The sequence below is a fragment of the Homo sapiens genome, chromosome 19, assembly GCF_000001405.40.
Source record: "Homo sapiens chromosome 19, GRCh38.p14 Primary Assembly".
NCBI lineage: Eukaryota > Metazoa > Chordata > Mammalia > Primates > Hominidae > Homo > Homo sapiens.
Genome location: NC_000019.10, coordinates 19,619,581 through 19,645,010, shown reverse-complemented (window position 1 = coordinate 19,645,010; position 25,430 = coordinate 19,619,581). Strand labels below are relative to the sequence as shown.

Below are 25,430 nucleotides of genomic sequence, written 5' to 3'. Positions count from 1 at the left end.
AGCACCCCCATATTTCTGAGGTCTCTTTCACATTTTAACAACTCAGGTGCTGAGAGAAGCCTTAGGATGTGTGATATTTTTTTCTTTCCCATAATACATAACAGCATGCCTTTCTCTCGGGTGGTGTCTGAGACTTGAGGAATATGATCTGCATCATTACAAGTATTGACTCTGTCCGGTGGCTCAAGCCTGTAATCCCAGCACTTTGGGAGGCCAAGGCGGGCCCATCACAAGGTCAGGAGATCGAGACCATCCTGGCTAACACAGTGAAACCCCATCTCTACTAAAAATACAAAAAATTAGCCAGGCATGGTGGCGAGTGCCTGTAGTCCCAGTTACTCGGGAGGCTGAGGCAGGAGAATGGCGTGAACCCAGGAGGTGGAGCTTGCAGTGAGCCGAGATAACGCCACTGCACTCCAGCCTGGGCAACAGAGCGAGACTCCAACTCAAAAGAAAAACAAACAAGTACTGACTCTGTCATGCTCTTTGGGGGCCTGCGCTGCTCTACCATCTCATGTCACAGTCAGGGAGCTCTGGCTGAGCATCAGCCAGGATGTGACCTGGAAACCTGGCTTGGCTCTTAGGTTGATAGTGTTATTCCTTTCAATGGACTCACTCATCACAACTCAAGAACTGCAGAGTAGGCAGCACGGAGCCAGTCAGAGAATCCTTGCCTCCTTAACAGCCAAAGCCTTTGGACACAAAGTTATAAACATACTTTAAAGTCTATTTCCAGCCCCAAAATTCCACTGTGCTGGGGGTGGGAGCATTTTTATAACAGGCGGCTTGTGGCAACCCCAGAGCTGGTGCTTTTGGACAAACCTCCACTCCCTACCTAAAAGGGCTGCTCCCTGGTGTGCTGTAATTGGGGCCTTGAGCCTGATCCAGCTTTGAGGGTCACGGAAGGGGCGTCCCCCAGGCCAGGGGTTCTCCAGCCCGAGTATTAGAATTTTGGTTGGAATCGGACAGAATATCAGGCCTCCACCAGGGGGCGCCATGGCTCCAGCGAGGCCCAGGTGGTTTCAGGGCTCCGAGAGACAACCTGGGCAAGGGGATCACCAGGGTCGCGGGTTGTGGGAGCTCCTGGGAGAGGCCCCCCGGGACAGGTGGACTCTGCAACCATTCAGGGAGGAGGGGGCTGGGGCTCCGTGGGATTTGGGGTAGCACAAAGATCTGAGAGGGAACCTATGGCCCAGATGAAGTCTTAGGATGCCCAGGTCAGGGGCACTGCAGCCTCGAGTGGTCGCTCAGGGGGCCCTGGCCCGACCCAGTTTCAAGCGGCTCAGGTAGAGAAGGGCACTATCAAGGCTTCCGGGCTACGGGGGCGTGGTCTGATGCGGGGGCGTGGCCTCCGCTGGGCAGGGCGACGCGGAACCGAGGCGGCGGCGGCGGCTGCGGCGGCAGGAAATCGGGGCTCGGCCCCGCCGGCGCGCGACCCCATCCCCATCCCGGTCCCTGCAGAGCGATCCCCGGGCCCAGATATGGACGCAGCAGAGCCGGGTAGGGGGTCGGGGATCCGGGAGGGGCCTCCCCCGACCATCCCCTGCTTCCTACATTGAGGGCACACACTTGTCCCGCTCCGTCCTGAGAGCCAGGAGAGGAGTTCCTGAATGGGAAGGACCCAGGGATCCTCCATTGTGGGGAGCCCTGTGCCCGGATGGGTTCAGGACCCCAGCCCTTCACTCCCCCTCCCCCTTTTGATCCCTCACCCCAGACGCCTGGGGGAGGGGGCCCAGGAAGGGGAAGTGACTGCTTCTGCTTCTGATTTTTGTGATGGGGGCAGGGTGCCACGACTGCTGAGGGAGAGGGCAACGCGGTAGGATCCCCACAGGGCCCCTCTGTAGCCCTGGGGAGTCGGCAGTGCTGGTCTAGGCCCCTTAGGAGAGGGGGCAGGGGGGCAGCAGTAGAAATGTGGCGGGGTCCGACTTGGTGTTTCCGGCCGTCTTTGTGTCTGTGTTGTGTATGTGGAGTGTCATTCGGTCTTTATGTCCCTCACGGCTTCAGTCTCTCCATGTGTGTTTCTGCCCCAGGCTCTGCCTGGCTGTCCCTTGTGTATTTCCATCTGTCTAGCCCGTGGTTCCATTGTCAGACCGGCTTTCTTCTCGGGACAGCCTGGTTGCATCTGGGGCATCTGTTTTGTTGGTTTGCTTCTGGGTGCAGGCAGACCCAGGGAGTGGGTGTCTCTGTTCCCCGAGCAGCTGTCTCTGGTCTCTGGTGGTGTGTGAGTCCATCTGCCTGCCTCGAGTTGGCCCCAACCAAGCCCCCCCCAGCCCTCTCTTTCTCTCTCTCACTCTTCCCTTTCTCTTCCACCCCCTCCAAATGAGACTGGTTGAGGTGCCGTGGGTGGAGGGAGGCAGTGGTTAGCCCATGTATTACACTCCCCTCCCCTAGGACTCCCCCCAGGTCCTGAGGGCAGGAAGAGGTACAGTGACATCTTCCGGAGCCTGGACAACCTCGAAATCTCACTGGGGAACGTGTGAGTCTGAGCCTGGATCACCCCCAAATCCTGCCAAGATGCCCCAAGCCCCTAACCATTTAGGTGCCTTGCAGTCCCATTTGGAACCTGTAACATCTGGACCTACATACCTAATAACCAGAGAAGTCTAGGATGGGACCCTCCAAAATGCCTCGGTATCCTAAAAGTGTCCCCCTAAATAGACTGGAAATCCCCAAAGTGGTCCTAGAACCCCTACATATCCTTGTAACCCCTTAAAATATTTGCGATCCCTATAATCCCACTCTATGAACCTCAAAGTTATCTGGGGCCCTTCAGATGCTTTTTCAAGTCCTATTTAAAAAAAACTCACCTGATTCCCCCAAAACACCATTCTTCAGACCTCCCAGACACAAGAGATGCCACAGAGGTGATGTTTGCCACAAACAACCCTAAGGTCCCCAGCACCCCTTGGCAGGACAGACTGGGTGTAAGGTGGCATCCTGACACACCTTTATCCCCCAGGACCCTTGAGATGCTGGCTGGAGACCCTCTACTCTCAGAAGACCCAGAACCTGACAAGACCCCTACAGCCACTGTTGTGAGTGGGGAGTAGGGGAACAGGGAGGAAGACCTCAAGCAGAGGGGGCCTTAGGAAGGCCAGGCCCCTGCCCTGTTTGCTTCTGAATACTGTCTCCCTCCCGCACAGACCAACGAAGCCAGCTGTTGGAGCGGCCCCTCCCCAGAGGGTCCTGTACCCCTCACAGGTAGGGGGGTCTGGAGGCCAGGACAGTGGGGACAGACAGGAGTCTTTCCTTCAACAAATCACCACTGATCCCCTGTTCCATGCAAGGCATCGTTTAGGTTTTGGGAATATGGCAGTACACACAACAGATCTCAGTCCCAGCCCTCAGGGAGACCCCAGGCAGGGTGGAGGCTGAGGTAGGAGGATCACTTGAAGCCAGGAATTCGTGACCATGCTGGGCAACAGTAAGACACCATCCCTACCAAAAGAAAAAATATTTTTTTAATTAGCTGGGTGTGGTGGTGTGTGCCTGTAGTCCCAGCTACTTTGGAAGCTGAGGCTGGAGGACTGATTAAGCCCAGGACTTTGAGGCTGCAGTGAGATACGATTGTGCCACTGCACTCCAGCCTGGATGACAGAGCAAGACCATGTCCAAAAAAATCAAACACAAGGCCGGACGCAGTGGCTCACGCCTGTAATCCCAGCACTTTGGAGGCTGAGGCGGGTGGACCACGAGGTCAGGAGATCGAGACCATCCTGGCTAACATGGTGAAACCCCATCTCTACTAAAAATACAAAAAAATTTAGCCGGGCGCAGTGGCGAGTGCCTGTAGTCCCAGATACTCGGGAGGCTGAGGCAGGAGAATGGCGGGAACCCAGGAGGCGGAGCTTGCAGTGAGGCAAAATAGGGCCATTGCACTCCAGCCTGAGCGACAGAGCGAGACTCCGCCTCAAAAATAAAAATAAAAAAACCCATCAAACACAGGCCGGGCACGGTGGCTCATGCCTGTAATCCCAGCACTTTGGGAGGCCGAGGCGGGCAGATCACCTGAGATTGGGAGTTCGAGACCAGCCTGACCAACATAGAGAAACCTCGTCTCTACTAAAAATACAAAAAATTAGCCGGGCATGGTGGCGCATGCCTGTAATCCCAGCTACTCAGGAGGCTGAGGCAGGAGAATCGCTTGAACCCGGGAGGCAGAGGTTTTGGTGAGCCAAAATCGCGCCATTGCACTCTAGCCTGGGCAACAAGAGCGAAACACAGTCTCAAAAATAAATAAATAAATAATAAAATAATAAAAAATAAAAAACAAAAAACAGTGAATCTGTAAAATTGCAACCAGGACAAGTGATCCCAAAGTAGTGTTTGGGGAGCTGTGAGGCTGTAGGACAGGTGCCACTGGGCTGGTCTGGGGGCTTAGGGAAGACATCCATAGCAGACTAGGGTGCAAAGGTCAGAGGTCCATCCATCTTCCCCAGGGGAGGAACTGGACTTGCGGCTCATTCGGACAAAGGGGGGTGTGGACGCAGCCCTGGAATATGCCAAGACCTGGAGCCGCTATGCCAAGGAACTGCTTGCCTGGACTGAAAAGAGAGCCAGCTATGGTGAGGACCTCTTCCGCCCAGCCCCAGTTACCAGGCAGTCCCCAGACCCCAGCTAGACCCAGAGCCCGGCTCTCTCTTCCCCCAGAGCTGGAGTTTGCTAAGAGCACCATGAAGATCGCTGAAGCTGGCAAGGTGTCCATTCAACAGCAGGTAGTCATGACCAGACCCCCCCGGAGAGCCCAAGCCCCCTAGAACCCCACCTTTGTCCCCCACAGATCTTCAGTATCCTCCTACACCACTCTGTCTTCCCCAGAGCCACATGCCTCTGCAGTACATCTACACCCTGTTTCTGGAGCACGATCTCAGCCTGGGAACCCTGGCCATGGAGACAGTGGCCCAGCAGAAAAGAGACTACTACCAGGTGAGGGGGGCAGGGTGGAATGTTACAGAGGTCACCCTGCTATCCTGCTGTCCTTCAGGCCTGATCCCCTCGTTTCCCAGCAAGCTGGGAGGAAGGCACCACTACCAACGTCGCCATTTCATTGATGAGGAAGCTGAGGCCCGGGGATGCTTGGGAACTTGCCCAAGGTTACCCAGCAAAGATTCAAGCTGGGCTTCCTGTGCAATTGCAAAACTTCACTTTACTTTTTTTCTTGAGACAGAATATCTTGCTCTTTTGCCCAGGCTGGGGTGCAATGGTGCGATCTCAGCTCACTGCAACCTCCGCTTCTTGGGTTCAAGCAATTCACTTGCCTCAGCCTCCTGAGTAGCTGGGATTACAGGCGCCTGCCACCACGCCCGGCTAATTTTTGTATTTTTAGTACAGATGGGGTTTCACCATGTTGGCCAGGCTGGTCTCCAACTCCTGACCTCAGGTAATCCACCTACCTCAGCTTCCCAAAGTGGTGGGATTACAGGCGTGAGCCACCACGCCCAGCCAAAAACTTCGTTTTTGTTTGTGGGGAGGGGAACGAGGTGCTGAGTGTTCTCAGGAGGAAAGCCTTGGTGTCTCTGCTTCCAAGCAGAAAGGATGGGGTGACTACATGAGACTTCTGGACTCAGGGGTCGGGGAGAGCAGGTCTGGAGAAGACCCCAGGAGGAGAATACTGACTCAGAAAAGGGTCCAGCCTGGCACGGTGGCTCATGCCTGTAATCCCAGCACTTCTGGGGGCCAAGGAGGGAGGATTGCTTGAGCCCAGGAGTTTGAGACCAACCTGGGCAACATAGTGAGACCCCCTGTCTCTACAAAAAAAAAAAAAAAGTTTTTTAATTAGCTGGGCCTGGTGCACATGTCTGCAGTGCTAGCTACTAGGAGGCTGAGGGTGGAGGATTGCTTGAGGCCAGGAGTTCGAGACTAACCTGGGCAACATAGTGAGATCCCTGTCTTTATCTACCAAAAAAAATTTATTTATTTATTTTTTTTTTTGAGACAGAGTCTCACTTTATCATCCAGGCTGGAGTGCAGTGGCATGATCTCAGCTCACTGCAACCTCTGCCTCCCGGGTTCAAGTGATTCTCCTGCCTCAGCCTCCCGAGTAGGTGGGACTATAGGAGTGTGCCATCACATCTTTATAATTTTTGTATTTTTGTAGAGACGGGGTTTCACCATGTTGGTCAGGCTGGTCTTGAACTCCTGGCCTCAGGTGATCTGCCCACTTTGGCCTCCCAAGTGCTGGGATTAAAGGCATGAGCCACTACACCTGGCCAACCAAAAAAAAAAAAAAAAAGAAGAAATTGTTTTTTAAATTAACTAGGCCTAGTGCACATGCCTGTAGTCCTAGCTACTGAGAGGCTGAGGCTGGAGGATTGCTTGAACTCAAGAGTTCAAGTTCAATGCTGCAGTGAGCCATGATTGCCCACTTGCACTCCAACCTGGGCAACAAGAGCAAAACTCCGTCTCGAAAAAAAAAAAAATAGAGTCCAGAGGTGGCAAAGCACATGGCGCAGGAATGGAAGGACTGGGTGGCTGCTTCTGGGTTGGCCCTAAGGCAGCGTCTCCATCCCCATCCCCAACCCTTGCCAGCCCCTCGCCGCCAAACGGACTGAGATTGAGAAGTGGCGGAAGGAGTTCAAGGAGCAGTGGATGAAGGAGCAGAAGCGGATGGTGAGGCTTGGAATTGGTGGAAGGGTAGGGTGAGAGAGAGGCCGGGACGCTGACCTTCTCATCATCCCCCAGAATGAGGCGGTGCAGGCACTGCGGCGCGCCCAGCTGCAGTATGTGCAACGCAGCGAGGACCTGCGGGCACGCTCCCAGGGGTCCCCTGAGGACTCGGCCCCCCAGGCCTCGCCGGGACCTAGCAAGCAGCAGGAGCGGCGGCGGCGCTCGCGAGAGGAGGCCCAGGCCAAGGTGGGCACCCGGCCCCGAGCCCCTGTAGCGCTGTGGCGCCCCCTGCCCTCCACTCTCGCCCACACGCGCCCCACCCCGCTCCTGGCCTCCCGTTTCCCCAGGCGCAGGAGGCCGAGGCGCTGTACCAGGCCTGTGTCCGCGAGGCCAACGCGCGGCAGCAGGACCTGGAGATCGCCAAGCAGCGAATCGTGTCGCACGTGCGCAAGCTGGTGTTTCAGGGGGATGAAGTGCTGAGGCGGGTGAGGCCCATCCCCAAGGCCATCCTCCCCTCACCCCGTTGGGGCCCCGACTGAGTGCCCCACTCCTCGCCCCTAAGCCACCCTGGAGACACCAGGACTAGGCCATTTCCCTCGACAGCCAGTTCCCGCCCCCAGACCCACTGTCTCGGCTCCGCCCCATGAGGTCCTGTCCCCTGGATGACCAGCCCCTGCTCTGACCATGCCTGGGTCCCCTGGCCGACTGCCCTAGTTCCTAAGCCGCCCAGGTGCGTCCCAAACCCTGACCACGTTCGCGTCTCTCAAGCCCCGCCCCAGCTCTGGCCCTGCCCCCAGGCTCCCAGGCTCCGCCCCTCCCCAACCTGCTGTCTCCACCCGGCAGGTGACGCTGAGTCTCTTCGGGCTGCGGGGGGCGCAGGCAGAGCGTGGCCCCCGCGCCTTCGCCGCCCTGGCCGAGTGCTGTGCGCCCTTTGAGCCGGGCCAGCGCTACCAGGAGTTTGTACGGGCGCTGCGGCCCGAGGCCCCGCCGCCCCCGCCGCCCGCCTTCTCCTTCCAGGAGTTCCTTCCCTCCTTGAACAGGTGGGTCACTGGAGCAGGGAGTCGGGAACGAGCCCCGGAATCGCGATGCCAGGCTGTTGGCACCGCAGGCTGGTTACTCGAGGTTAGAGAACGCAAAGCCTTAGTGGAATTTAGTACTCCAGGCTCTCGGGGGCCATAGGAGGGTGAATGGGTTGTCCCAGTCCTAGGGGCAGGGGCAGGAATGTGGGGCTACTGTATTTCAGGGGCCACAATGCCCTGGGTGTCAGGGTTTGCAGACCCAAGTGCTTGGAGTTGGTACCTAGACATGATGCCTGGGTGCCATCACCCCAGGCCAGTTTCCTGGGATTCAAACCTTCAAACTTCTGTCTTCTCAGCTCCCCTCTGGACATCAGAAAGAAGCTCTCTGGGCCTCTTCCTCCAAGGCTGGATGAGAATTCAGCTGAGCCAGGCCCTTGGGAGGATCCGGGCACAGGCTGGCGCTGGCAAGGTGAGTGCAATGAGGGCCAGGTGGGAGTGGTGCCAGGAGTTCGTTCCACCAACACATAGGTGGGCTGCAGGAGTGGGGTTTGTGAGCAGGGGACCATCCTTATTGACCTGTGCCACCTAGGGACTCCAGGCCCCACTCCGGGCAGCGATGTGGACAGCGTGGGTGGCGGCAGCGAGTCTCGGTCCCTGGACTCACCCACTTCCAGCCCAGGTAGGGATAGGACCTGGTCCTGACCCACACTCCACCTGTGACCATCCTCCAGCCCCTGGCCAAGCTCTGACCCTCAATCTTTAACTATCTTTGACCTCTGACCTACCCCACACCCCTGACCTATTTCCTCAACCTCTTTTTTTACCTTTTTAAAAATTATTTATTTATTTATTTGTTTGTTTATTTGAGACAGTCTCATTCTGTCGCCCAGCCTGGAGTGCAGTGGCGTGATCTCGGCTCACTGCAACCTCCACCTCCCAGATTCAAGCGATTCTCCTGTCTCAGCCTCTGGAGTAGCTGGGATTACAGGTGTGCACTACCACGCCGGCTGATTTTTGTATTTTTTAGTAGAGACGGGGTTTCACCATGTTGGCCAGGCTGATCTCGAACTCCTGACCTCAGGTGATCCACCTGCCTCGGTCTCCCAAAGTGCAGGGATTACAGGTGTGTGCCACCACGCCCGGCCTTTTCTTTTCTTTTCTTTCTTTCTTTTTTTTTTTTTTGAGACAGAGTCTTGCTCTGTTGCCCAGGCTGGAGCGCAGTGGTACGATCTTGGCTCACTGCAACCTCCGCCTCCCAGGTTCAAGCGATTCTCGTGCCTCAGCCTCCCGAGTAGCTGGGACTACAGGTGCCTGCCACCATGCCTGGTTAATGTTTGTATTTTTAGTAGAGACAAGGTTTTGCCATGTTGGCCAGGCTGGTGTCAAACTCCTTGCCTCATGTGATCCTCCTGCCTCAGCTTCCCAAAGTGCTGGGATTACAGGTGTGAGCCACTGCGCCCGGCCTATTTCCTCAACCTCTTGATCCAGCTTATGAACCACCCCCCTCAGGTTGCTGACCCAATTCTCCAACCCTTAACCACTGACCTGTCCAATCCCCCTCCTGACCTCTGACCCCTTGGGAATTAGTGGGTGGTTCTGGAAGCCCTAAAAACCAGGAGTGCCTCCCATAGCCCAGGAATCTCCCATGATTCCTCTGACCCCAGGCGCTGGCACGAGGCAGCTGGTGAAGGCTTCGTCCACAGGCACTGAGTCCTCAGATGACTTTGAGGAGCGAGACCCTGGTGAGGCTGAAGCAGGGTAGGTCAGGATGGGACAGGGCAGGGCACCAGGCACTCCTGACCCTGTCTCCCTGCAGACCTGGGAGACGGGCTGGAGAATGGGCTGGGCAGCCCCTTCGGGAAGTGGACACTGTCCAGCGCGGCTCAGACCCACCAGCTGCGGCGACTGCGGGGCCCAGCCAAGTGCCGCGAGTGCGAAGCCTTCATGGTCAGCGGGACGGAGTGTGAGGAGGTGTGGCCTGGGTTAATGACCAAATGACCTTTGCTGACCCTTGATCATCTCCCTGACCTGAGATTCCTACAGCCTTTCTGCCCCTGGGACCCACCCTAACCTGATGTCTCCCATGAGCCCCCATTCCTTGAGGATCCTTGTAACCTTCTCTTCCCCTACTGGTCCCTAATGACCTCCCTGTCCCTGTGACCTTCCCCACAGTGCTTTCTGACCTGCCACAAGCGCTGCCTGGAGACTCTCCTGATCCTCTGTGGACACAGGCGGCTCCCAGCCCGGACACCCCTTTTTGGGGTTGACTTCCTGCAGCTACCCAGGGACTTCCCGGAGGAGGTACCCTTTGTGGTCACGAAGTGCACGGCTGAGATAGAACACCGTGCCCTGGATGTGCAGGTGCTGCCCTGACCCTTCATCATCCCCAGAAGTGACCTGACCGAATCGATGGCCTATCACGAACCAGGTGTCTGTTTTTCACCCTCACCCTGCAGGGCATTTACCGGGTCAGCGGGTCCCGGGTCCGTGTGGAGCGGCTGTGCCAGGCTTTCGAGAATGGCCGAGCGTTGGTGGAGCTGTCGGGGAACTCGCCTCATGACGTCTCGAGTGTCCTCAAGCGATTTCTTCAGGAGGTTGGTGCTCAGGACACTGAGGGGGACGCGGGCAGGAGCCCTCCACAGCCCACCCACACTCGTGTTGCGCCCTCCGTTCCACCCCCAGCTCACCGAGCCCGTGATCCCCTTCCACCTCTACGACGCCTTCATCTCTCTGGCTAAGACCTTGCATGCAGACCCTGGGGACGACCCTGGGACCCCCAGCCCCAGCCCTGAGGTTATCCGCTCGCTGAAGACCCTCTTGGTACAGCTGCCTGACTCTAACTACAACACCCTGCGGCACCTGGTGGCCCATCTGTTCAGGTGTGCATGGGTCCCTGAGCCTTGAAACGCGACCCTTTTCCCTGGACATGCGACTACTAACTTCCCTGGCTGACCCCTGACACTGACCTCTGACCTTTGACCTGTGTTTTCTGAACTCTGAACCTTAATCCATGATTCATAACTTTGGGTACTGACCCCTGACCTCCAGTTCTGGATATGTGGCTGCTGGTCTCAGACGACTTACACCTGTGACATGGGCAAGTCACCTCTAGGCTGGCCTGCGTGTCCCACCCTTACCCTCAGACCAATGAGCTTGCATCCTGTACCCTGACCTTTCTCTTCACACCATCCCCAGGGTGGCTGCACGATTTATGGAAAACAAGATGTCTGCCAACAACCTGGGCATTGTGTTTGGGCCGACACTGCTGCGGCCGCCGGACGGCCCGCGGGCAGCCAGCGCCATCCCTGTCACCTGCCTGCTGGACTCTGGGCATCAGGCCCAGCTTGTGGAGTTCCTCATCGTGCACTACGAGCAGATCTTTGGGATGGATGAGCTCCCCCAGGCCACTGAGCCCCCGCCCCAAGACTCCAGCCCAGCCCCTGGGCCCCTCACAACCAGCTCCCAACCGCCACCCCCGCACCTTGACCCAGACTCCCAGCCCCCAGTCCTAGCCTCAGACCCCGGCCCAGACCCCCAGCACCACAGTACCCTGGAGCAGCATCCCACGGCCACACCTACCGAGGTAAGAACCCACTGGGCCCACAGCTATGGAGAGGGCCTTATCTCTGTTCAATTCTCTTACCTTCTCTTTCACCTTCCTTCCTTTTTAAAATTTCCTTCATTCTCTTCCTCCCTTCCTCATTTAACTTATGTTCATTCTGGAAGGAATAGTGAGGAATGAGCAGTGGGCAGTGATGATGTAACAAAAGGGGACAGCCCTGCAGAGGTACTAACATGGGTGATCATTCATTCCTCCAACAGAATATTTATTGAACATGTATTTTGGGCCAAGCATTGTCGTAGGCATTGCAGATACATCCAGGAGCTAAATATCCAAAGACCCTGCCCTCTCAGTGCCTGTGTTTTAGTGGGGAAAGAACAACCATATACATGACACAAAGTCAGTTATCTGGAATGTGATGAGGTGATGATGATAAGGGTAATGGATCATGAAAAGGTAGAGTAATGGCTGGGCGCGGTGGCACACGCCTGTAATCCCAGCACTTTGGGATGCTGGGGCAGGCAAATCACCTGAGGTCAGGAGTTCGAGACTAATCCAACCAATAAGGAGAAACCTGTCTCTACTAAAAATACAAAAATTAGCCAGGTGTGGTGGTGTGTACCTGTAATCCCAGCTACTCAGGAGGCTGAGGCAGGAGAATCGCTTGAGCCCAGGAAGCAGAGGTTTTAGTGAGCCGAGAGCATGCCACTGCACTCCAGCCTGGACAATAGAGCAAGACTTTGTTTCAAAAAAAAAAAAAAAAAGTGGAGTAAGACACATGACACCAGGGAGCAGCACGGTGGGAGGTGGAGTTTGTATCACTAAGTAGGATGGTGGGGGCACGTCTTAGAGAGCAGACGGACTTGAGCAAAGACTGGAAGGACATGAAGGAGTGAGCTGGCAACATGGAGATCAGGTGAAGGGTGTTCCAGGCAAAGGGAACAGCCAGTGCAAAGGCCCTGAGGTAGGATCGTGCCTGGTGTGTTAGGACGCAGCCCCATCCTGTAATGAATGACAGGAAGGTGGTATGAAGTGATACCAAAGAGGAGTGGGCCCAGGTGGCTCTGCCAGCTATCCTGACCTTGCATCTGCTATTCACAGGCACAGACCACCACTGAATGTGCACCTGCTGTGCAGGGGACACTATAGAGGCTTCCTGTTGTCCTCTCCACAGTCCTGAGAGGTAGACAGTGTTAATGAAAATCATTTACAGATTAAACAATGAAGGCTCTGAGCAGTTAATGGCCCTAAAAGGGGACTGTAAGCAGTTGGAATCTTTTATTTTTTTTTGGAGACAGAATCTCACTGTGTTGCCCAACTGGAGTGCAGTGGTGCGATCTCGGCTCACCACAACCTCCGCCTCCCGGGTTCAAGCAATTCTAATGCCTCAGAGACAAGGTTTCGCCATGTTAGCCAGGCTGGTCTCCAACCCCCTACCTCAAGTAACCCACCCACCTCAGCCTCCCAAAGTGCTGGGATTATAGGCGTGAGCCACCACACCCGGCCGCAGTTGGAATCCTTTATTTTTTTAGACGGAGTTTCATTCTTGTTGCCCAGGTTGGAGTGCGATGGCGTGATCTCTGTTCACCGTAACCTCCACCTCCTGGATTCAAGCGATTCTCCTGCCTCAGCCTCCAGAGTAGTTGGGATTACAGGCATGCACCACCACACCCAGCTAATTTTTTTTGTATTTTTAGTAGAGTAGGGGTTTCTCCATGTTGGTCAGGCTGGTCTCAAACTCCTGACCTCAGGCGATCCGCCCTCCTCAGCCTCCCAAAGTGCTGGGATTACAGGCATGAGCCACTGCACCCGGCCTAGAATCTTTTTTTTTTTTTTGAGATGGAGTCTCGCTCTGTCACCCAGGCTAGAGTGCAGTGGTGCCATCTTGGCTCACTGCAAGCTCTGCCTCCCAGGTTCACGTCATTCTCCTGCCTCAGCCTCCCAAGTAGCTGGGACTACAGGCACCCGCCACCACACCCGGCTAATTTTTTTGTATTTTTAGTAGAGACGGGGTTTCACCGTGTTAGCCAGGATGGTCTCGATCTCCTGACCTTGTGATCCACCCGCCTCGGCCTCCCAAAGTGCTGGGATTACAGGCTGGAGCCACTGCACCCGGCCGCCTGGCGTAGAATCTTTAACAAAGGTCACCAGTCTGGATCCAGAGCTCAGCTGTGAACCAGGAAGATAGCAGCACCCGCTGCTCCGGATTGCTAGAACAGTCCATGCCCAAGGCCTGTGCTGCTGGTATCTTGCTGCATCTGCCATTCCTGAGAGCAAGGATCTCTCCTGCAGCAGCCCAGAGCTGGGAAGCGGCTGCTGGTGAACTGTGGGTCTCTGAGAGCTGGAATGCCTCATAAAGTGCTCGGGACAGTGTCTGATGTGTAGACACTGCCAACCATTTAGCTAAGGATGGAACAGTAAAGTTGGTAAGGTTGCAGAGAGCAGCCCAGGATAGTAGTTCAGAGGCACCACCTGGTCCTAATGTGGAGAGGGCTGAGCCACTCCCTGGGCTGGCCATTTGCTAAACAAGGATTTTCCCACCCTCATGGAGCCCACGGTCCAGACTCAATGAATGACACTGCTCTATGCTGGAAGGGCAAGCAGTACACTTATTATTATTTTTGAGACGGAGTCTCATTCTGTCACCCAGACTGGAGTGCAGGGGCATGATCTGAGCTCACTGCAATCTCCACCTCCCAGGTCCAAGCGATTCTCCTGCCTCAGCCTCCCTAGTAGCTGGGATTACAGGCATGCACCACCACGCCCGGCTAAATTTTGTATTTCTAGTAGAGACGGAGTTTCACCATGTTGGCCAGGCTGGTCCCGAACTCCTGACCTCAGATAATCCACCAACCTCAGCCTCCCAAAGTGCTGGGATTACAGGCATGCACCACCATGCCTGGCCAAGCAGTACACTTATAAGGGCATCGTCTATCCCCAAACACCAAAACTGCAAAGGATGACAGGTGCACAGTCAGTGGTGGTCCATGCCCTGTGCATAGGAGGAGTTCAATGGTAGTCCACACCCAGTGCAGAGTAGGTGCAAAGTCAGGGGTGGCTGGCAGAGCCACCTGGGCCCACTCCTCTTTGGTCTCACTTCCTACCACCTTTCCCTCATTCATTACAGGGTGGGGCTGCGTCCTAACATACCAGGCATGCTCCTACCTCAGGGCCTTTGCACTGGCTATTCCTTTTGCATGTCCAGGAACAAGCCCTTGGCTCTCCAGGAATCTCAAAGAACTGGGATTTTAGTGTTGGGGTCTCATTCTTGGGTTTCTCCCTGCAGATTCCAACTCCACAGAGTGACCAGAGAGAGGACGTGGCTGAAGACACCAAAGATGGGGGAGGGGAAGGTGAGTATGTTAGAGAGAGGCTCAGGAGTTCTGGGGGTGCCCTGGCCCCAGGGTGGCTTGCTAAAAGATGACTCCTGGGGGGATATACAGAGAACTTGGAGGTGCTCTGCACTGACCACCCACCCCGTACACAGTGTCCAGCCAAGGCCCAGAGGACTCACTCCTGGGGACACAGTCTCGTGGCCACTTCAGCCGCCAGCCAGTGAAGTATCCCCGGGGCGGTGTGAGGCCTGTAACCCACCAGCTGTCCAGTCTGGCCCTGGTGGCTTCCAAGCTGTGCGAGGAGACCCCCATCACATCAGTGCCCAGAGGGAGTTTGCGGGGGCGGGGGCCCAGCCCTGCAGCTGCCTCCCCTGAGGGCAGCCCCCTGCGCCGCACCCCGCTGCCCAAGCATTTTGAGATTACCCAGGAGACAGCCCGGCTACTCTCGAAATTGGACAGCGAGGCTGTGCCCAGGGCCACCTGCTGCCCGGACGTCCAGCCTGAGGAAGCCGAGGACCATCTCTGACCACCCTGGCACCTTAAATAAGGAAGAGGCCCAGATTGTGAAGACGGACCCATATATCCCTACCTCCCACCACCTAGTGGCCAAACACCCCGCCAGGAGTTCAATGCTGGGAGAGGTCCAGAGGGTTCCTATAAGGAAAAACTATTTAATACATGACCTAGGGGAGGCCTAAAACCCTTTTGGGGATAATGTCCCAGAGTCCCCCCACTAGACACAGGTCACTGCCAAGCATCAGGGCCACTCGGGCTCAGAGGTCACTCAGGGTCAATACTCAGGGTCAGTGCAGGTTATGAGATCCTTGGGGTCCACCCTAGTCTCTGACACCTGGGACAGGGGTGCTTTTGCTACTTTGGTTGTGGTCACTCCCCCACACCTGCCTGCCTCCTTCACGGACTCGAAGTGACCTTCCTGGAGGAGGTGGGCAGCTCAGACTCCACATGCTGGTGGTGCCTGAGGTCTGATGGCCTCTAATAAACTGTGTCCTATATGCCCTTGGGTGCATCTCTGCTAGGGGAGAGGCCAGCATGGGTAGCACTCCTTGCCCCCATTTTACAGATTAGGGGAATCAAGGCCTCTTTTTTTTTTTTTTTTTTTTTTTTTTTTGAGACGGAGTTTTGCTCTGTCTCCAGGTTGGAGTGCAGTGGCACGATCTCCGCTCACTGCAACCTCCACCTCCCGGGTTCAAGCGATTCTCCTGCCTCAGCCTCCCGAGTAGCTGGGACTACAGGCGCCTGCCACCATGCCCGGCTAATTTTTTTGTATTTTTAGTAGAGACGGGGTTTCAGCATGTTGGCCAGGATGGTCTCGATCTCCTGATCTCGTGATCGTCCCGCATCGGCCTCCCAAAATGCAGGGATTACAGGCGTGAGCCACTGCGCCCGGCCTCAAGGCCTCCTTCTTGCATCATCAAACACCCTGCAGCACCTACGTAAAGGCAGTTGGAGCTGGGTCGCAGCACCCGGCTGAGTCACGCCAGCCCGGCCCTCCCGGAGCTCTGCGTCCCCGATCCGGTCCTGCATAATCAAATACAGTATAACAAAGTACCGATAACCGGGACAATGGGGCTGTGTGCTCCGGACCGTGGGAGCCCGGGGCCGCCGCAGGGAGGCCGAGGGAGGAAGCCACAGGGCAGGGCAGGGCAGGGCCGGGCTTTGCAGGGGGCAGCGCTGTCCCAGGGTGAGGGGTACGGGGGCGGGATTGCAAAACCCTAGCGTGCGCCCGATGATCAGCTGGGGCCGCAGAGGTGGGCCTCGCACAGGAGGCCGCGGCTCGCTGATACTGCGAGCTGGCAAAGCCGAAGCTGGGCGGGGGTCCGGGCGGTGGGAGCCAAGTCGGATCAGGGAGTGGCTTGTAACTCGGCGGCCGATTGGACACGAAGAAGAGAGCGGGGTGGGGCTGGGAGGGTTGGGGGTCCGGAGCGGGGGCGCGGACCCAAGACCACCTGGAGCTCCGCCCGGGCAGCGCGGGGTCACGGCGGGAATTTTCGGGTCGCCGAGTGACTCAGCCCCGCAGGCTCGAAACTGCGGGCGCATGAGGTGTGCAGGTACCGGGGTGGGGGTCCCGCGCCGGAAATAGGGGCGACTGAGGGGCCGCGAGGCGGGGAGGAAACAGGGGGGCTGCGGTTCCGGGCGACACCGCCCCCGACGCGGCCGTGGAGGCGGGGCTCCCCCAGGTGGCGGGGCGGGGCAGGGCTCCCCCAGGTGGTGGGGGCGGGGCGCCGGGGAGACCCCGCCTCCCGCGCCCTCTCAGCAACCCGCACAGGGCGCACCCGGACGCTCTACCGCTCCCGCCGCAGTCGCCGGGCCATGGGCCTCGAGCCCGCCCCGAACCCCCGCGAGCCCGCCTTGTCTGCGGCGTGACTGGAGGCCCAGGTGAGGCCTGCACGGACGGGAGGCGGGCGGGTGCGGGCCTGGGCCCGGGGGAAGGGCGCGGCACGTGCCTGCGGGGCCAGGACGCCGCCCTCTGATCCCTTAACCCCCTACCCCTTCCCCAGTCTGGAGACGCCTGGAGGCCCGGCCATCCATCCCTTCCCCAACCGCTGTCTTTGTCCCGGAGACCGCCAGTGTCCTCCGTCCCACCCGGAACAGCCTATTGCCCCGCCCGCTTGGGAAGCACTCGCGCCCAAATCCCGCCGACTAACTTCTGGGGCCGCCTCTCTGTCCACTCCGATCACCTCCACGCCTCGGCACCGCCCCCTCGCAGGGTTCTAGCAAGTGACCTCACCCTTGTGTGCACACGCTCCCGGGTCTCTGCTCCCTACACTGACTCCGGCACCAAAGTGATCCTCCCTCATCTCTTCCCGCAGCTCACACCCCTTTGTCTTTCCCTAACCCTCCTCTCCCCACAACCCAAACCGGGTCACACATTGGCGGCAGGTGGGCTGGGATTCGACCATAGATGGGTTTTGTTTCACTTCTGGTTCAAAAACCTATTGACTTGGGTGATGTCTTGCACACAGGTCTTATTAGTAGGTAAGAAACAGCTGCTCCTCCACCTCCACCCCAGCCCCATGGAGCTTGCTTTTTCCAGGCCACCGTAGTCCTCACCACTGCCACTTTGCTTCGAGGTATCTGAATTTGAGACCCTTGTCCTTCCTGCGCTGACCCTCCTCTGCAGCTGCCGCCCCTCCCTGTGTCCTTCCAAGAAGTGCCACATGCACTGATCTCTTGTGTCCCCAGATGGTCATCATGGGCCAGTGCTACTACAACGAGACCATCGGCTTCTTCTATAACAACAGTGGCAAAGAGCTCAGCTCCCACTGGCGGCCCAAGGATGTGGTCGTGGTGGCACTGGGGCTGACCGTCAGCGTGCTGGTGCTGCTGACCAATCTGCTGGTCATAGCAGCCATCGCCTCCAACCGCCGCTTCCACCAGCCCATCTACTACCTGCTCGGCAATCTGGCCGCGGCTGACCTCTTCGCGGGCGTGGCCTACCTCTTCCTCATGTTCCACACTGGTCCCCGCACAGCCCGACTTTCACTTGAGGGCTGGTTCCTGCGGCAGGGCTTGCTGGACACAAGCCTCACTGCGTCGGTGGCCACACTGCTGGCCATCGCCGTGGAGCGGCACCGCAGTGTGATGGCCGTGCAGCTGCACAGCCGCCTGCCCCGTGGCCGCGTGGTCATGCTCATTGTGGGCGTGTGGGTGGCTGCCCTGGGCCTGGGGCTGCTGCCTGCCCACTCCTGGCACTGCCTCTGTGCCCTGGACCGCTGCTCACGCATGGCACCCCTGCTCAGCCGCTCCTATTTGGCCGTCTGGGCTCTGTCGAGCCTGCTTGTCTTCCTGCTCATGGTGGCTGTGTACACCCGCATTTTCTTCTACGTGCGGCGGCGAGTGCAGCGCATGGCAGAGCATGTCAGCTGCCACCCCCGCTACCGAGAGACCACGCTCAGCCTGGTCAAGACTGTTGTCATCATCCTGGGTAAGTGGGGCCCCCAGGGGGCAACAGGGACCCTGCTTCCCCCTATCTCCCACAAGACACTGCGAAGCAATGAACAAAACAAGCTACCTGATAGAGGGTGATGGGGGATGATTTAGGTGGGGAATGTCCTCCAAGGAGGTGATAATGTATGTGAGCAGAGGCCTGAATGCTGAGGATAGGAACAGAGAGCCTTCCAGGCAGAGGAAACGGAAAGTAAAAACCTCAAGGCAGTACGAGGCCAGAGCCTCTAAAGAGGAAAGTGGGCTTGTGAGGAGGAGAGATCAGCAAGGCCTTAAGGGGCACGGACAGGAGTCTTATTTTGAGTTTCATGGGAACCCCTTAAGAGTTTTTAGCAGTGCTAGCCGGGCACAGTGGCTCACGCCTGTAATCCCAGCACTTTGGGAGGCCGAGGCGGGCAGATCAGCTGAGGTTGGGAGTTCACGACCAGCCTGACCAACATGGAGAAACCCCATCTCTACTAAAAATGCAAAATTAGCCAGGTATGGTGGTGTGTGCCTGTAATCCCAGCTACTCGGGAGCCTGAGGCAGGAGAATTGCTTGAACCCAGGAGGCGGAGGTTGTGGTGAGCCGAGATCACACCATTGCACTCCAGCCTGGGCAACAAGAGCGAAACTCCAGAACTCTGTCTCAGAAAAAAAAAAAAAAAAGGAGTTTTTAGCAGTGCTAAGCCTGTTTTAACAAAAAGCCTTTAAATTGTTTTTTAATCTATATGTATTTTTAATTTTTTTTTTTTTTTTTTGAGACAGAGTCTCGCTCTGTCACCCAGGCTGGAGTGCAGTGGCGCAATCTCGGCTCACTGCAACTTCTGCCTCCCAGGTTCAAGTGGTTCTCCTGCCTCAGCCTCCTGAGTAGCTGGGACTACAGGTGCGTGCCACTATGCCTGGCTAATTTTTCTATTTTTAGTAGAGACCAGGTTTCACTATGTTGGCCAGGATGGTCTCGATGTCTTGACCTCGTGATCCACCCGCCTTGGCCTCCCAAAGTGCTGGGATTACAAGCATGAGCCACCACGCCCGGCCCATATTTTTAAATTTCAAAATTTATTTTTGTTTTTAAGATACAGGATCTTACTCTTGCCTAGGCTGGATTACAATGGCTCCATCATAGCTCACTGCAGCCTCAACCTTCCGGGCTCAGGTGATCCTCCCGCCTCAGTTTCCTGAGTAGCTGGGACTACAGGCATGTGCCACCATACCTGGCTAATTTTTTATTTTTTGTAGAAACGAGGTCTCACTATATTGCCTAGGCTGGTCTTAAACTCCTGGCCTCAAGTGATTGTCCTGCCTCAGCCTGTCAAATGCTGCAGTGAGGTGTGATCGTGCCGCTTCAGTGAGGTGTGATCGTGCCACTGCACTCCAGCCTAGGTGACAGAAGGAGACCCTGTCTCAAAAAAAAACACACAGGCCAGGCGCAGTGGCTCATGCCTGTAATCCCAACACTTCGGGAGGCTGAGGCGGGCGGATCACGAGGTCAGGAGATCGAGACCATCCTGGCCAACATGGTGAAACCCCATCTCTACTAAAATACAAAAAAAAAAAAATATAGCCGGGCATGGTGGCACACACCTGTAGTCCCAGCTACTTGGGAGGCTGAGGTGGGGGAATTGCTTGAACCTGGGAGGCAGAGGTTGCAGCAAGCCAAGATTGTACCACTGCACTCTAGCCTGGCGACAGAGCGAGACTCCATCTCACACACACACACACACACACACACACACACACACACACACACAAAATGTCCAGTGCCTTGGCCACTGTGTACCAATTAGCATAGATGTCCCATCTTAGCAGGCCTTCCTGTCACACTGCAGAATCAGGGAAACAAGCAGCTCTTGCACTGCAAACTTCACCACTATTGCTCGAGCTCTGGAGACCACTCCAACCCCAAACTGAGAGCTGTAGGTGCCGGGCCTCTGACAGCTTGCCCTGCTCACTTCCGCCTCTGTCCCACAGGGGCGTTCGTGGTCTGCTGGACACCAGGCCAGGTGGTACTGCTCCTGGATGGTTTAGGCTGTGAGTCCTGCAATGTCCTGGCTGTAGAAAAGTACTTCCTACTGTTGGCCGAGGCCAACTCCCTGGTCAATGCTGCTGTGTACTCTTGCCGAGATGCTGAGATGCGCCGCACCTTCCGCCGCCTTCTCTGCTGCGCGTGCCTCCGCCAGTCCACCCGCGAGTCTGTCCACTATACATCCTCTGCCCAGGGAGGTGCCAGCACTCGCATCATGCTTCCCGAGAACGGCCACCCACTGATGGACTCCACCCTTTAGCTACCTTGAACTTCAGCGGTACGCGGCAAGCAACAAATCCACAGCCCCTGATGACTTGTGGGTGCTCCTGGCTCAACCCAACCAACAGGACTGACTGACTGGCAGGACAAGGTCTGGCATGGCACAGCACCACTGCCAGGCCTCCCCAGGCACACCACTCTGCCCAGGGAATGGGGGCTTTGGGTCATCTCCCACTGCCTGGGGGAGTCAGATGGGGTGCAGGAATCTGGCTCTTCAGCCATCTCAGGTTTAGGGGGTTTGTAACAGACATTATTCTGTTTTCACTGCGTATCCTTGGTAAGCCCTGTGGACTGGTTCCTGCTGTGTGATGCTGAGGGTTTTAAGGTGGGGAGAGATAAGGGCTCTCTCGGGCCATGCTACCCGGTATGACTGGGTAATGAGGACAGACTGTGGACACCCCATCTACCTGAGTCTGATTCTTTAGCAGCAGAGACTGAGGGGTGCAGAGTGTGAGCTGGGAAAGGTTTGTGGCTCCTTGCAGCCTCCAGGGACTGGCCTGTCCCCGATAGAATTGAAGCAGTCCACGGGGAGGGGATGATACAAGGAGTAAACCTTTCTTTACACTCTGAGGTCTCCAAAACATTTGTTGTTATCAATTCAGTGTTTCTGTCCCTGTGTCCCGGAATTGTCTACCTTGGCCCAAGTCCAGAAAGGATCTTTCAACATGGTATCTCCTTGGCCCTGTGCTCGCTCTTCTTCAGTCTGGCTGGCTGTTATTCCATCTCTCTCTTTTTTTTTTTTTTTTTTTTTAGACAGAGTCTCACTTTGTAGCCCAGGCTGGAGAGCAGTAGCACAATCTCAGCTCGCTGCAACTTCTACCTCCCAGGTTCCAGATTCTTGTGCCTCAGGAGAAGCTGGGATTACAGGCGCGTGCCACCACGTCCAGCTAATCTCTGTATTTTTATTTTTATTATTTATTTATTTGTTTGTTTATCTTTGAGAGGGAGTCTCGCTCTGTCACCCAGGCTGGAGTGCAGTGGCTTGATCTCAGGTTACTGCAACTTCTGCCTCCTGGGTTCAAGCGATTCTCCTGCCTCAGCTTCCCGAATAGCTGGGTTATAGGCATCTGCCACTACACTCGGCTAATTTTTGTATTATAGTAGAGATGAGGTTTCACCAATGTTGGCCAGGCTCGTCTCAAACTCCTGACCTTGAATGATCCACCCACCTCAGCTTCCCAAAGTACTGGGATTACAGGTGTGAGCTACCGCGTGCCTGACTAATCTTTATATTTTTAGTAGAGATGGGGTCCCACCATGTTAGTCAGGCTGGTCTCGAACTCTTGACCTCAAGCGATCCACCTACCCACCTTGGCCTCCCAAAGTGCTGGGATTATAGGCATGAGCCACCACGCCTGGCCCCTCTCTCTTACTGGGGTCTTGAATCTGTTTCTCTCTGCTTCTGTTCTTTGTTTCCCCCATCTGTTGCTCTGCCTCCATCTCACTGCCTGTCTCCCTGTCTTTCTCTGCAGCTCAGAGTAGTGTCTGGACCCTATGAGCCCCCTCCCTCCCCACTGCCCTTTTGTTTGAGCCCTGATGGTTCAAGGTCACGTGCCCAGCCGTTTCTATCCCATTCCCCACCACCTGTATTCATACTTCCAGCCACAGGTTGTGGGGTTCAGGTAGTGGGATGCAGGATTTGAGCATGACCATTTCTCAAGCTCTTCTGATGTGCCTGGCATACTGGTAAACACTTTAGGTGCTTTTTTTTTTAAATTTTTTATTTTTTTGTGATGGAGTGTCACTCTGTCCTCCAGGCTGGAGTGTAGTGGTGCAATCTCGGCTCGCTGCAACCTCCGCCCCCGGGTTTCAAGCGATTCTCCTGCCTCAGCCTCCCAAGTAGTTGCGATTACAGGCACCTGCCACCGTGCCCGGCTAATTTTTGTATTTTTGTTAGAGATGGGGTTTCACCATCTTGGCCAGGCTTATCTTGAACTCCCGACCTTGTGATCCACCCGCCTCGGCCTCTCAAAGTGCTGGGATTACAGGCATGAGCCACTGTGCTGGGCTTTTTTTTTTTTTTTTTTTTGAGACGGAGTCTTGCTCTGTTTCCCAGGCTGGACTGCAATGACGTGATCTCAGCTCACTGCAACCTCTGCCTCCCAGGTTCAAGTGATTCTCCTGCATCAGCCTCCCGGGTAGCTGGGATTACAGGGATATGCCACCACACCCAGCTAAATTTTTTATTTTTAGTAGAGATGGGGTTTCACCATGTTGGCCAGGCTGGTCTCGAACTCCTGACCTCAGGTGAGCCGCCCGCCTCAGCCTCTCAAAGTGCTGGGACTATAGGCGTGAGCCGCCATGCCTGGCCTTTTTTTTTTTTTTTTTTTTTTGAGACAGAGTCTCACATGATCTCAGCTCACTGCAACCTCCGCCCCCTCCAGGTTCAAGCGATTCTTCTGCCTCAGCCTCCCAAGTAGCTGGGACTACAGGCATGCACCACCATGTCTGGCTAATTTTTTGTATTTTAATAGAGATGGGATTTCACCATATTGGCCAGGCTGGTCTTGAACTCCTGACCTCATGATCCGCCTGCTTTGGCCTCCCAAAGTGCTGGGATCAGTCTTTCTGATTTTTATGTGAGAACACTGATTCAGACAGGTTGTGATCTGGCCCATGGTAAACACAGCTTGGAGATGGCACATACAGGCCCCGAGGGACCAGAGAGGCCCCTAGGAAAGGGACTTCAGATTCCCACGAAGCCCAGGGTTGGTCCCAAGCTCAGCTGGGCTTTCCCTACCTCACCCCACAGCACCCAACCCATGAGTGCCAGATCCATCATGAGCCCCCTCTGAGATGCTCAGGGAGGCCCCCTCCAAGGCACAGTGTGTGCCAGGATGTCATTCTCTGCTCCCACCTCACCAGTGAGGAGGTGGGGTTATGTCCCTACTTTTGAATCCCATGCTGAATAACAGCTAGAATTTGAACCCAGGTCACTCAGAGATGTGAGCCGCCATGCCCAGCCACCTGTGCCAAATTCTTAAACCACTGAAATATGCATTGTCAAAGAACCCAAAACTCCCAGGTCCTTCTATATTAAATGGCCCTGGCCGAGCACTTTGAGTGCCAAGGCTGCCAACTAATTTCTATGCAGTAGAGACCCCTGATGACCTCCAAATGGCAACAGTGGGACGGGTGAGGTGGCTCATACCTGTAATCCCAGCACTTTGGGCGGCCGAGGCAGGCAGATCACCTGAGGTCAGAAGTTTGAAACTAGCCTGGCCAACATGGTGAAACCTCATTTCTACTAAAAATGCAAAAATTAGCCGGGCGTGGTGGTGGGTGCCTGTAAGCTACTCAGGAGGAGGCTAAGGCAGGAGAAGTGCTTGAACCCAGGAGGTGGAGGTTGCAGTGAGCCAAGGTCACGCCACTACACTCCAGCCTGGGCAACAGAGTAAGATTTCTGTCTAAAAAAAAAAAAAAAAAAAAAAGGCAACTCTGTCTCAGGCGCTCTGAGCTGGCTGTTCACATCAGCTCCTCCAGGTTTTAACCTGCACCCCGTGGGTCTCCTTCGAGACCATTTCCTCTTGTCGATCTCCCGTCTCCACCAAGTGGCTTCAAATTTTTGTCTCTGCTGGTCCCTGAAGCTTTCAGTGCCCACCCCTCCAAGTTCTCTGAAGGATACTACTTTGTTGGGGTTGGGGGCAGGTTTTGCTCTCTCACCCAGGCTGGAGTGCAGTGGCACAAACACAGCTCACTGTAGCCTCGACCTCCTGAGCCCAACTTATCCTCCCGCCTCAGCCTCCCAAGTAGCTGGGACCATGACCAGCTAATTTAGCTATTTTTTTAATTTTTATTTTTGTAGAGATGGGGTCTCACTATGTTCCCCAGACTGGTCTTGAACTCCTGGGCTCAAGTAATCTCCCACCTCAGACTCCCAAAGTGTTGGGATCATAGGTGTCAGCCACTGCACCCAGCCTGAAGGCCACTACTGTTCAGGCCTCCTGGGCAGTGCTGTGCTTGTGGGTGACCTTTTGAACAGGCACTGGTCTCCGTGGCTCCCATGCAATCTATTACTTTCTGTCATTGGAGCCAAGTGTCGGTTTCCTTCATCAGAGAGCTTTCCCTATTGTCCAGACACTCGGTCAATGTCTTTCATTTTTCACTCCCTGCCGTCCCCTTTGGAGTCTCCCGACGCTCTCCAATCCAGCCATACCAGATGGTGTTTGAATTTCCTCCCCAGCAGCAATGGAGAGAACGTGGGCCCCACCCTGGAAGGGCTCCCAGCCAGCAGGCTGAGGACCTTTTACTGAGCCCACATCTGGAGACTGTCCTCATAGCAAATAGGCTCCAGGAGGTTCTGTGACTTTGGAGAAGAGATTCATGTCCAGGCCATTACTTTTTTTTTTTTTTTTTTTTTTTGAGACCTGGTCTCCGTCAACCAGGCTGCAGTGCAGTGGTGCAATCATGGCTCACTGCAGCCTCAAATTCCCAGGCCCAAGTGATCCTCCCACTTCAGCCTCTCAAGTCCCAAATAGCTGGGACCACAGGCGTGCACCACCACGGGGTCTCACTATGTTGCCCAAGCTGGTCTCAAACTCCCGTGCTCAAGTGATCCTCCCGCCTCTGCCGCCCAAAGTGCTAGGATTACAGGCATGAGCCACCGCCCAGTTCCTTTTCTTGTGCACTAGGAGCCTTCGATGCTGTGTCCTAAG

At 55.8% G+C, this 25,430-nt stretch overlaps 2 protein-coding genes across 10 annotated transcripts, besides 7 other annotated features; both read left to right on the top strand.

Annotated features, from left to right (window-relative positions):
* Positions 1,261–1,510: a silencer, noted in NCBI's record as "silent region_10453". NCBI's record gives its function as "represses an Ori minimal core promoter by ATAC-STARR-seq in GM12878 lymphoblastoid cells {active_cell/tissue: GM12878}" and the evidence as "EXISTENCE:reporter gene assay evidence [ECO:0000049][PMID:35858748]".
* Positions 1,354–15,535, top strand: GMIP (GEM interacting protein). Of its 9 annotated transcripts, none has more exons than XM_005259927.3 (21): positions 1,354–1,500; positions 2,392–2,476; positions 2,960–3,035; positions 3,144–3,201; positions 4,440–4,565; positions 4,651–4,715; positions 4,819–4,926; positions 6,529–6,609; positions 6,682–6,852; positions 6,954–7,091; positions 7,450–7,646; positions 7,982–8,094; positions 8,224–8,304; positions 9,290–9,367; positions 9,442–9,596; positions 9,798–9,986; positions 10,082–10,219; positions 10,308–10,504; positions 10,821–11,208; positions 14,474–14,540; positions 14,675–15,535. In XM_005259927.3, exons 1-21 carry the CDS (start codon positions 1,482–1,484, stop codon positions 15,046–15,048), a joined length of 2,904 nt encoding a protein of 967 aa, XP_005259984.1. In that variant the 5' UTR covers positions 1,354–1,481; the 3' UTR covers positions 15,049–15,535. The 9 variants fall into 9 exon arrangements, with proteins under 9 accessions (XP_005259984.1, NP_057657.2, NP_001275927.1 ...); NM_016573.4 differs by having other exon boundaries at positions 8,215–8,304; NM_001288998.2 differs by lacking the exon at positions 9,290–9,367.
* Positions 1,522–2,477: an enhancer, noted in NCBI's record as "H3K27ac-H3K4me1 hESC enhancer chr19:19753343-19754298 (GRCh37/hg19 assembly coordinates)". NCBI's record gives its function as "activates a minimal SCP1, AML or CMV promoter by ChIP-STARR-seq in primed H9 embryonic stem cells {active_cell/tissue: H9 hESC(primed)}" and the evidence as "EXISTENCE:reporter gene assay evidence [ECO:0000049][PMID:30033119]".
* Positions 2,141–2,300: an enhancer, noted in NCBI's record as "active region_14366". NCBI's record gives its function as "activates an Ori minimal core promoter by ATAC-STARR-seq in GM12878 lymphoblastoid cells {active_cell/tissue: GM12878}" and the evidence as "EXISTENCE:reporter gene assay evidence [ECO:0000049][PMID:35858748]".
* Positions 15,481–16,403: an enhancer, noted in NCBI's record as "NANOG-H3K27ac-H3K4me1 hESC enhancer chr19:19739417-19740339 (GRCh37/hg19 assembly coordinates)". NCBI's record gives its function as "activates a minimal SCP1, AML or CMV promoter by ChIP-STARR-seq in primed H9 embryonic stem cells {active_cell/tissue: H9 hESC(primed)}" and the evidence as "EXISTENCE:reporter gene assay evidence [ECO:0000049][PMID:30033119]".
* Positions 16,041–16,170: a silencer, noted in NCBI's record as "silent region_10452". NCBI's record gives its function as "represses an Ori minimal core promoter by ATAC-STARR-seq in GM12878 lymphoblastoid cells {active_cell/tissue: GM12878}" and the evidence as "EXISTENCE:reporter gene assay evidence [ECO:0000049][PMID:35858748]".
* Positions 16,541–17,040: a silencer, noted in NCBI's record as "silent region_10451". NCBI's record gives its function as "represses an Ori minimal core promoter by ATAC-STARR-seq in GM12878 lymphoblastoid cells {active_cell/tissue: GM12878}" and the evidence as "EXISTENCE:reporter gene assay evidence [ECO:0000049][PMID:35858748]".
* On the top strand, positions 16,791–21,356 carry LPAR2 (lysophosphatidic acid receptor 2). Its single transcript, NM_001395660.1, has 3 exons — positions 16,791–16,919; positions 17,727–18,468; positions 20,442–21,356. Exons 2-3 carry the CDS (start codon positions 17,736–17,738, stop codon positions 20,753–20,755), a joined length of 1,047 nt encoding a protein of 348 aa, NP_001382589.1. The 5' UTR covers positions 16,791–16,919; positions 17,727–17,735; the 3' UTR covers positions 20,756–21,356.
* Positions 21,017–21,311: a silencer, noted in NCBI's record as "tiled region #12805; HepG2 Repressive non-DNase unmatched - State 23:Low, and K562 Repressive DNase matched - State 8:EnhW". NCBI's record gives its function as "represses a minimal TATA promoter and a strong SV40 promoter by Sharpr-MPRA in HepG2 and K562 cells {active_cell/tissue: HepG2 | K562}" and the evidence as "EXISTENCE:reporter gene assay evidence [ECO:0000049][PMID:27701403]".